Source organism: Homo sapiens, chromosome 4 (assembly GCF_000001405.40).
Source record: "Homo sapiens chromosome 4, GRCh38.p14 Primary Assembly".
NCBI classification, from domain to species: domain Eukaryota; kingdom Metazoa; phylum Chordata; class Mammalia; order Primates; family Hominidae; genus Homo; species Homo sapiens.
In genome coordinates, this window is record NC_000004.12 from 47,433,420 (window position 1) to 47,445,725 (window position 12,306).

Sequence of the window (12,306 nt, forward strand, 5' to 3'; positions counted from 1 at the left end):
CCTTTAAAAATATATAGGACATACAGTTACATTTGCAAGCCAAGTGGAAAAATGTTACTATTTTTGTAATTTTCTATAACTACAATATTTCCCTTTAAGAGAGAGTCTCAGATAATACAAATCCTTTATTTTTAGATCCCTGGAAGATAAAGATGTTCTTAAACCATTCTCTGTAATTCAATTAAGGAACAGCCATGCAACACCCCATCATGGGTAGAAAAGCCAATCTCTAGGCAGCATCTAAGCCCAAATGTTGTTGCAGTGCCCTCCTCAGTCTTGGACCCCACACTGTCTTGTTTCCTGAAAGTAGAGTAGCAGATATTTTTGAGCTCTCAGGCAAGAAGCAGCTTTCCATCTATAATAGTTGGAAAGATCCAAGGTCTTTAGAACATCTGTTATCCACTCTCCTTGCTCAAGTCCTTCCACCCCGGCTTACCTAGTTAACTACTTACCTAGTTAACTACTTACCTAGTTAAATCCACTGGTGTTAGGCACAGCCATGACAAAACTGACAGTTTATTAATTTGTGATTAGCATTCTAGCTATTCATGTTCTTCAAGCATGCATGAAGAATTCCGGTCTCTGAACATTGTCCTCAATACAACTTCTGTAAACAGATGTTCTTAACTTTTTCTTCTTTGTTGAAAGATACCTTCCAACTCTAAACTTTCATGATTTTCCTGAGTATTTCCTGGCCATTCAAGCTTTTTCCACTCTACTAAGCTGTCTAGATTTTATCCATTTTACCTTGATGATCCAGATTTTGGGCAGTTCAAAAATGAGTAGAGAGTAAGGGGGAAGAGAACTATTCCCACTCCCAACAGATAAATATCATGCTCAGTAGACACTCTGTGTCCAGTTTTGTTTTCTGCTTTTTCCATCTGTTCCACCCACTTGCTTACCCATACATAAAAGCCTTTCCTTAGTCTCTTGAGAAAATATATAGAAGGAAAGTTTGCACAGCAGCAAAATAGCCTGAAATGTGCTCCAGTTCTTTTTGGTTAACATTATTGTTTAGACCATATGACCCAATTTGCCTCAGACAGTCTCAGTGTGTAATTATTAATAAAACTCCTTTTCACTCTCAAAATTGTCCATGTGAATAATAAATGATACGACCACCATAATTATGGGATCTCAGCCACCTGAAGGGTGGGGAAATATTAATAAATGTAACATTAACACACTACAGAAAACATGTCTTGGCTCCCTACAAATCATTTAAGTCTGGCCCAGTCTTCTCCACCACTCGTTCATACTCACCTTATTTCTCCATGAGTTCCTTAATTAGCTGCAAGCAAGCTCATCCTCAGGTCTTCCTTATCCTTCCACTCCAACATCCACACATCATCCCAAAATGTCCTCACTGCTGTGCTTGAAGTTTTACATTTTATTTCCACTGATTAGATATTTTTCTTCCTAGCCCCATCTCAATCGTGGTTTATGAATCAGGCCAACATCCTCAAAAATGCTGTCCATGAGCACCCTGCCTCATTCTGTTCACTCTCCTGTTAACACTCCCTCAATTCTTGTGGTCACTTTATTCAATAATAATAGACAGTTTATTTGCACATTTCTAGTTTTGCAAAGAGATATTCTGCCTCCCTTTGTGAGGTCCTTAAAAGCAAACACCCCATTTTCTAATTCTTTTGTATTGTCCAAAGCAACTATTGTTCTGCCCATGGCAGGGTCTATAAATGCTGATTAGATCACCTACAGTGGGAAAGGCAGCAAAAGACAAACACTTTTTCATAACAGGCAATATTTCAGGATTATAGATAATACCTTGTGGGACAGATGACCTCCTCTCTCAAATTATTTTAGTCCCATAGAGCCTCTATCTACAACCTCTCAAAGAATAAAAAATGCAGTCAAAGGTACAGTTGAATCCAGGTTTGTGTCTTGCAAAGTGGTCATTAAGATTTTTTTCTACTGGGATTTTCCAAGCAGACTGAATCCTGATAATACCACCAATCTAGATTCTACCAGTTCTAGAAGAATTGAATATTCCTTGCTAATTACCGCTGCTTTTCCTTTATGGAAAAAGGAAAGTTTTCTTTTATAGTTTTTTCCCCTGTTTATCATTGTTTGCCTTATTAATGGCCTTTTAAATCTAGGTTCTACAGGGTATTTATTCTTGAAGCTGGGGCTACACTGTATTATTGATGGAACATTCCCATGTGAATTCTAATACTCCCAGAAGGTACTGCACAACAAATCCTATTTCTGCCAAGATATAAATAGAAGATTTAGAACTATATAAGAGGGATGGACAGTTCTTGACATTCACCACTGCTTCTCAAGAGTGCATAAAATATAATAGATGTACAAGGAAATGCATTTTCTGCCTCCACCCCCTTTTTTCAATTATTAACTTTCCAGTTGTCCTGTTAAATAATTTACTAATTTGCATAAAAGAAATATATAATTTGCAAGCCTTACCTCAGAGTGGCAACCAGCCATCCCAGTTTACTAGATAACGTATTTTTCTACCTGATACTCCTCAAATAAATTGAATTGCAGTGTATCTGCTTTTTCTTTTTTTAAGCTAATTAATTCATTGTTGATCTGTTTGTTAGATCTTTTTAAAATACTCACTGGATAAAGCTTGAAATTTTACAACAATGCCCCTGAGACAATTTTAGGGAAGTCCTTTGATTATTCTAACTTAACTTCAGTGTCATGGAAAACAGAATTATATATCCAAGTGTTCTTTCATATTCAGAACATCCAGTACTCTTCCAAGAAGGGAATGTTCATGATTATATACACATATATTTATTGACTGTGTTGCTCAGCTTCTTATCTCAAGGAGAGTCAGTAACTCTTTTTCTTGATAAAAACTACCATGTCAGCCAAGCACGGTGGTTCACACCTGTAATCCCAGCACTTTGGGAGGCTGAGGTGGGCTGATTTCTTGAGCCCATGAGCTCAAGACCAGCCAGGACAACGTGGTGAAGCCCCGTTTCTACTTAAAATACAAAAATTAGCCAGGCATGGTGGCGCGTGCCTGTAGTCTCAGCTACTCGGAGGGCTGAGGTGGGAGGATCACTTGAGCCCGGGTGGCTGAGGCTGCAGTGAGCTGAGATCGTGCCACTGTACTCCAGCCTGGGTGACAGAGTGAGACACTGCCTAAATAAAGGAAAAAAAAAAAAAAAAAAAAAACTACCACGTGGCATTATACAAAGCCAAGATTTCACAACATTTTTGAAAATTCCAAATGACTTACATGTTTACAAGGACCAAAAACTTTTTGATATTTTAAAATAAGCTTTATCCTTTTTAACCACCATGCAGCATGCTGTGCCATCATGATGGAAGCCTGATGGCTAATGTGAAATAATGTTGGCATGTCATTTAAAAGGTTAACAGACATGAAAATTGGGAAGTTTAATATTGTTTAATACAAATAAAATTGTTTTTGAAAGAAAGGCATCTGTGTTGAGCGTGGCTTGCTTGAAAACTTCTCCTGTCTATCATCTCTGAACATTATTTTGCTCCTCTTGACTTTACTCAAGGGGCCTAATCCTACAGTGATTCAGGAGGTTTGAGAAAGCAGGACTCATGAGACTAAAAATTAGGAAACTACTATCCTGCCAGCAATGGGACACCTCTTTGGCTACCACCTCACCTAAAACTTCATTGAATCAGAAAATTAGCTGAACTTTCCACACCAGTCTCCTGCAATTTTAATTCATAGCATCCTGTACTAAATAGCTGGGGCTTTCAAAAGCAGGTGCTACGTATATACAGAAAGAAATACATACCTTCTGTTGCCTCTCAAAATCCGTTATGCTAAACTCACCAAATACGTTACATGTTAAATGTTTCATTCCTTGTGTTTTTAGATCTCCAGTTACCAATTTGCTATCTATCCTCCTACCAAACATTATTTAACCAACTCATATCCTGATTGGTATTACAATTCTTGTAAATAAAAGAATCCTTTTCTCCCTCTTTATTTTTACCAAGTAGACTTCTTTCATTGCAAATAAACATAAATTACAATATTTTAAGGCTCTTTGACATAAGCATTTGCTTTCTTACCTAAGCAGGTAATACTTTTGTATACCTACCAGACACTAAAGAAGCTAAATGTCAAGAGTGAGTATTTCAGTAAAACCTGTAGAAATTTTAATGAAATGGGACAGGTTTAAAAAAATGCCAAGAAAGGAAAAGGTGGACTCCTTACTTTTATATTTCAAGTTTTCTATTTTGTATCAATATATGCTGCATTTTCTGATTGAAATTGCTGTTCTGTCTAATGAAACTTGTGATTTTCTGTAGTTGCTTTTTACATTTGAAAGCAAACTTTCATACTGTGTGTGCTTAACTGTACCCCTTCTGTTAGGGATTTGATTAAAATACTCTAACCGTTTCATTAATTCCTTTTTATGTGCTTAATGTATGTGACATTTATGGCTTTGTTATCTCAAAAGCTATCTGTGGACAAAATCCATGAAGCCTGTTGACTGTGATTTATACACGTGAAAGAAAAAAACCAATTTCCTCCTAAGCAGTGAATCAGTGAATAAGAAACTGTTCAGTGGCCTCTGATTCCTGACCCTTTTACCCTTCATGGCCTTTTTTCTATTCTTAATTATTCCTTGAGTAATTGTGTGTTCTTGTAAAATGCAAAATCAATTTACATGCAATCAGGTATGGACACAAGAAATGCTTGTGCTCTCGATTTCAGGACTCACAGATACCATAACAGTCACGGGACTGTAGTTCACTCAGTATTTTTTGTTAATAATGTGGCTTTGCTATAAAATAACTTGGTGTTTCCTTTGCTTTGGTACTACAAGATTTTAAATGTTGCAGCAAATGAAAGAATGAAAACACATTTGAAAGCTGGTGTCAAAAATCATCAGCTGTACTTATAAAAGTTGTTGTGCAGCTTCTGAAATGTAGTTTATTGCTGTAAATATGTACAATTTATGTTAGCTCGTTTATTCTGAAAACACAAATAAAACTTTTTTTTAAATTACAAATGCCTACATATAAAAAGCTTACTTTGTACTACGTTTTAAAACATGCAAGATTTCAGGCATATCTTTTTATAATCCTTAAAAATGTTTAGAATTTTGAATCTATCATTTGAGAACTTTTATTACAAAATTTAATACAAAGCTACATCCCTTTATTTGGAAGAAATTCATTTCAGGATTACTCAACAATCAAAAAAAAAAAAAAAGATACCAGCACATTTCCAGGAGCTTGTGTCTGTACCACTTTGATTTTTTTAAATATTATTTAAGATGACAACATGCCTTACAAACACTTAAACATATGGTGTGTTTATACTAGAAAAGAAGAAATGAACAGTCTCCTTGTATTCAAAAATAATGCCTAAAACTGACTTATTGGCATCCCTTTGTGAGGTGTATTATGTCAAACTTCTTTGAAAATCTCCACTGTAAATATGAATATTAGAGTTGGCCTATTTGTCAGACTTTCCTAATTTGAAGACCTCCAACTTCCAAATTAATTCTCTCCCTTGAGAAAGAATGTGTTGACAATAAAACAATGAAGAGACCAAAAGTGTGAATTTTATTCATCCATTAACTGGTGATTAGTAGAAAAGCTTTTCAATAAAAGTCTAAACTCCAACCCAGGGATGACTTTAACATCCATTTAACAAAATAACTGGGAATCGCCACTTTAAAAGCTGAGCTTTGGCCTGCAGAGCTGGATATATCTGAGGCATCCTACACTGGCTACTATTTCCACAGACTACATTACACAATGGGAGAAATAAATACCCATCAGTTTTATTTAAAGCAGAAAAGGAACACATGTATATGTAACACGTTTAGAATTTGCTATGTCAATAAGAAGCCTGAGTAAGACAGGTGTTTAGCATCCAGCATCTTCCTAAACAAAGGAAAGTGTTGTTTAATTCAGCAATGATTGAATAGTAATCATGCAAGGGCAATGGGAAAAGGATAAAGATATCAAACCGATCTTCTCAGTCTCAGAGAAAATTACAGTTTAGATGGGGAGGCCAACTTAATAAACCATATTAGGGCAAACTAGCATATCTACACATTCACAATAATTACAAAGTGAATATGAAAGTGCTTGGATGAAAGTATTTTTGTCATACACTGGCATGCAAGAGAGTTCTCCAGGCACCTGGGAACATATGTTTGCATAGTCTCTGTATCTGTGTCACTAGTATCCCAGTTATTTCATATCTGAGTCCACTGCATAATTTTTCTCTTTTTTTAATTCTGAAACATTTCAAACATAACCATCACCCAGATTCCACAACTATCCAAAAGTCTGCAACAATTAAGCTGCACTTGCTTCATTTAATCAGTTGTGGGGTTTTCTTCTAAAGTATGTCAAGGTAAATCTTATCCCTTATGTGATTTCACTTATACATATATCTGTAAATTATGGGGATTAAGAAAATCTAACCATAATAACCATTATCATACCAAACAAAAATAATAGCTCCTTGACATTTAATGAATTTTATTCACATTTCCCCAATTGTCTCCAAAATACCTTTTTACAGTTGTTTTTTCAAGTGAGGATCCAAGTGAGGTCTCTTAAGTCTCTTTGACTCTAGAACATTTCCTCTCTCCCTTTCTTTTATGCTGGAAGCTCTGCCAGTTCTGCAGAACGTGCTTACACATGGTGCTATTCAGCTTGGCCATTTTTTTCTCTGAAGATAACATTAGAATTTGCTTCATAGACATTTTGTGAGAATTAAATTAATCCAAAATTTATGAGATTTTTGTTTTTCCCATTTTGTGCACAGAGATATGGAAGTTCATCAAGACAAAAAGAGTTTGCCAAGTAAGTGACCAAGCCAGATGCCCAACTCCAAAGCTCGTACTCTGCCTTACACTTAGACATTCTAATCGTTCAGAATATAAACAGAATTAATCGAAAACTCTTGTTGAGCTTCAACATGTTCAGTTTCAATATACATTATGAAGTGTACATTAATGAAAAACACATAGTACTGAAAGAAAATGTACACTGAATGTGTATTATGTGTTTTTCATTAATGTACATTGTACAGTACAATGTATATTGTACACATAATACTGAAAGAAAAACTGAGTTTACCAGGGTGAATTATAGTATCCATCTTACAAAACAGAAAGAAATGAAATCCAAAGATAGTATTTAAAATATACTGTAAAGGGGTGGGGCATGTGGAAAAAATAATTTAATATACTGTAAAAACTTTTCTAATATAGAAATATTTAGTGTTTGAAATGAAAGCATTTTTAAAGACTTAAATTATAAAGATGTTCAAAGGAGGAACTGGTTTGCAATAAAATGTGGCTAGAGGAAACTCAAGTGACTACAGAATTTTCCCATCCTCTTTTTAAATTACTATTTCACTGTAAAAATATAAATAAGTAAATAAGATCTAAAAACATAAGAGACCTGCAAGTATGGCAAGCCCATAATTTTTTAACTGTCAAGCAGTTTTATTTAAGAGGAAACAGTATATTTAATGTATTGCAATTCAGTAGATGATTCCATATTTAATAAATAAAAATGTAATTATGTAATTTGATTTACTCTTTGGATTGTATTCTGATAATATTAAACCTTTAACTTAAAAATATTAACACATTTTAGCTTTCTTATGCAGAAGTCTATTTTCTACTCGGGAGAAAAATGGAAGAAACTGAGATCATGGTCTACATTTTGAGAATGTTTTTACTGCTCGATTAAATTTCTTGGTTTCCCATTTAAGACTTTATAAGAAGTAAATTATGTGGTTTTCATTTTAAGAATAGATGAATGCAGAAACATTATGTTGGAAAAAACAAAGAGACCCTAAACTAAAAAAAAAAAAAAAAAAAAAAAAAAAAAAAAAAAAAAAAAAAAAAAAAAAAAATCCACATACAACTAATGTTCCGCTCTGGAGAAATTAATAAAAAGTAAATCAACTTTTAAATCCGTTAACTTTGGCGTCTGGTAGCATATAAATAAAAGACAATATTTCACCTAAACTCGGGGTTTTCTTAAAAGAAAAATAAAATATTCATCATATATCCTAAACAGAAAATATCAGTAGCAGGAGATGTCAATCTTGGCTGGACGTTGAGTCTATGAATATCATCATATCACATTCTCAACATAGGTATTAGCTACAGAAGTAACTCCCTTTTCAAAGAAAATAGCATTCTTAACAGAAACTTTAGCTTTATTAGAAGATAATTATGTCCCAATGTTAAACAAATATAACCTTAACTATTTCAATTATCACAGGAATATGTGACATTATTATCAATGAATTATGTTTGGGTTTGCAAGGCAGGTCATCACAAGATTGAATCACTTTTGCTAGACAAGCTGTAGATCAGTCTGTCTGTGCGGTACAGCCTACCAGTTACGTACTCTGTATGTGCAAGGAGAGATAATCCTCTCAAAGGAGTTTATTTGAATCTGCTCTCCTTTAAAAGGGTCTTAACTATTTCCAGGATGCTTTTTCTTAAATAACCCTAAGCAGAAAATAAAACGCTACATGATATAGCTCAGCTTTTGACCCTAATTCTAAGATTCAATCTTATCAAGCTATAGTTACAGGGATAAAATAAACATTGCATCCTATCTTCTCATCTTCTCTAATGACTTCAGAATTAACATAACTACACTACTTTATAATTAACTGCCCACAACATCTCTCAGGCATTCAGTTCACATTAGACTAAGAACAAAAAATAATTTTTTTCTTAACCTAAAATTTTAATGACATGGGCTTACACTTCCAATCAAGATGGATTAACAGGTACAGAATTTTCCCCTTTACAACAGCTGCCAAAAATAAAATAAAATACCTAGGAGTATATTTAACCAATGAGGTGAAAGATTTCTACAAGGAGAACTACAAAAACACTGCTGAAAAAAATCATAGACGATATAAACAAATGAAAACATACCCCATGCTCATGGATTAGAAGAATCAATATTGTGCAAATGACCATGGTGCCCAAAGCAATCTACAGATTCAATGTAATTCCCATCAAAATACCAACATCATTTTTCATAGAATTAGAAAAAACAATCCTAAAATTCACATGGAACCCAAAAAGAGCCTGAATAGCCAAAGCAATCCTAAGCAAAAAGAACAAATTATACTACAAGGTGATAGCTACCAAAACAGCATGGTGCTGGTATAAAAGTAGGCACATAGACCAATTGAACAGAATAGAGAACCTAGAAGTAAAGCCAAATATGTACAGTCAACTGATCTTGAACAAAGCACACCAAAACATAAATTGAGGAAGAGATACCCTATTTAATAAATGGTGCTGGGAAAACTGGCAAGCCACATGTAGAAGAATGAAACAAATCATTATCGCTCACCTATACAAAAATTAACTCAAGATGCATCTTGAGTTGGACTTAAATCTAAGACCTAAAACTATAAAAATTCTAGAAGACAACATTAGAAAAACTCTTCTAGACACGAGCCTAGGCAAAGAATTCATGACTAAGACTCCAAAAGCAAAAACACTTGTACTCCAAAAGCTATTGAAATAAAAATTACTTTTAAAAACAGGTACAGGATTTACACTATGACTTGAAACAATCAAAAACAAAAACAGCCACCCACCCCCACTCCTGACTCCTTGACACACACAAACCACTGGTATTCAAGACACCAAGTATCAGGGAACACAGGATAATGATACCTGAGTGACAGGAAACAAAGCAGGTGCAGCCTACGACTGCTCCAGCTTACTTGACAGAGTTATCAGACCACAGTTCAGAGACAGGAACCCGTGGGGAGCCTGGAGGGCTCCCTGAATTGAGGAAGTACAACTGAGAATCCGGGAAGACCAAGGCAGCTAGAATTCACAAGAGAGAAAACCAAAGAGGAGGAAGTTGCAGAAAAAAACAACCCCAGAAATCTAGAGCAGATTGCCCTTTGAGTATTCAGGAGAGTATCGATCAGTACGTACATGTGAAGAAACAACCCAAGGCTGGAAAAAGAGCTACTTGAAGAAATTAGAGGGAACAGGTCTGGTACTCACGCATTGCCAGGAATAGTGCCTGTTCCCAACAACTAAATTGGAAAATCTCTTAATTCACAAGGCAGTAGGTAAAGTACTCAAGACAGTCTTGTCTCAGTGATAGGGAATAATTAGCCCATTACTGAGCACTGCTCTGGATCTGCCTCACAAATCAGAAAAGCAAGATCTTAATAGATCACTGTTTCCGAGTAACTTAATTGCATTCAATTCAAAACAAAGCTCAAGGATTATTTACAGAAATATAAAAATTGCCAACAGCCAATAAGGTTAAATTCATCACGTCTGGCACCCAATCAGAAATTACCAGGCATTCAAAGAAAAAGGAAAACGAGATCCATAATGAGAAGACTAGTCAATCAACACTAACACTGGTGTTAAAATTAAGACTGGTCTCGAACTCCTGACATCAAGTGATCCACCCATCTTGGCCTCCCAAAGTGCTGGGATTACAGGCGTGAGCCACCACGCCAGGCCTGAACAATTAATTTTTGACAAAGGCACAGAGGCAGTTCAGTAGAGAAAGCATAGCCTTTTCAGCAAATGGTGCTGAAATAATTGAATATTCACATGCAAAAAGTGAACTTTGAGCCACACCGTGTGCCATATTCAAAAATTAACACAAAATAGAACATAGACCTAAAGGTAAAACTGAAACTATCACATTTCTAAAAGACAATTTAGGAGATCATATTTGTTAATCTGGGTTAGACAATGATTTCTTAGATATGATGCCAAAAGCATGATCCAAAAAAGAACTGGTCAACTGAACTTCTTCAAAATTTAAAACCACAGCCCTTGAAGACAGTTGGGAGAATGAAACAACAAGCCACAGACTGGAAGAAGATGTTTGCAAAACACATGTCTAATAAAGAACATCTATCCAAAATATACAAAGAACTTTTAAAAATCAACATTAAGACAACCTAATTAAAAATAAGCAAAGACATCTGAACAGACACCTCGCCGAAGAATATGTACAGATAGAAAACATGCATAAGAACAGATTCTCAACACCCTTGGTCACTAGGGAACTGCAAATTAAAATAACAATGAGATACCACTACATCTCTATTAGAATAGCTACAACTCAAAATACCGATAATACCTAATGCTGCTGAGAATTCAAAGCAACAACTCTCATTGTTCGTAGAACTGCAAAGTGGAGTAACATCAGCAAGACAGCAGAATAGAAAGCCCCTGACTACCTGAGATCTGAAGTCAACAACATACAGACCAATTTCTTTTGTGAGTAATCCAGAGACTAGTTAAAATGCATCTGTAACTTAAGAGAACACAAAACCAGCTGCATCTCCAATAAGAACATTTGTGGCATTCATTCACCACAGTCCACCTCCAAAGCTCAGCATGGAACCAGCAGAAAACTCCCAACTCCTGGTTTCTCCCAGGGAAAGGAGTTGGAGCATGACTTCAGCGTTCTGTCTTTACAGGGGGCTGCCCAAGTGACTGTTTTCTGTCTGGGATTATGGACAGGACTTGGAATACCCTAGATGCCTAGAGGCCGCTGAGGACAGAAGAGGGCTTGGCTGCTTCCTGTCATTCCAGAAGACCTGCAGTACAGTGGAGGCTGATACAACTTGGTAGCCTTTCCCTGGGAACTGGGGGTGGAGGAGAGAATTGCGGAGCATGTATCCAATGTTCTGATGTTTTAGGGCTTCCCAAGGGACTGATTTCTCTCTTGCCTGACTCGGAGTACTAACAGGACCTAGAAAACTCTAGAAGCCTTGGGCATCTGAGAACAAAAGAGTGGGGCTGTTTGTGACAGTCCAGAAAACCTGCAGTACCACAGACTGACACCAGAAGGAAGGAGAGATTATGGACATCTGAGGAACCCACAAATCATTAATTGGGAATCTGCGCGGGACAACACAGACACAGAAATAGATAAAGGATATTATATAATGATAAAATGGTCAATCACCAGGAAGATCTAACAACGATAAATACATAGTACCCAACATTAAAGCATCCAAATATATGAATCAAACATTGAGGGAAATGAAAGGAGAAACAAACAGCAACACAATAATAGTAGGTTTCAGTATCCCCACTTTCAATAATAGGGCATCCAGACATATCAATAGTGGACGAAAGGGCTTGAACAACACTATAGATCACATAGACCTAACAGACATATACAGAACATTCCATCCAACAGCAACAGCATGCACATTCTTCCCAAAAGCACATGAAACATTATCCAGAATTGCCCATGTTAGGTTACAAAACAAGTCTTAACAAATTTAAGATGATTGAAATCAGACCTAGTATC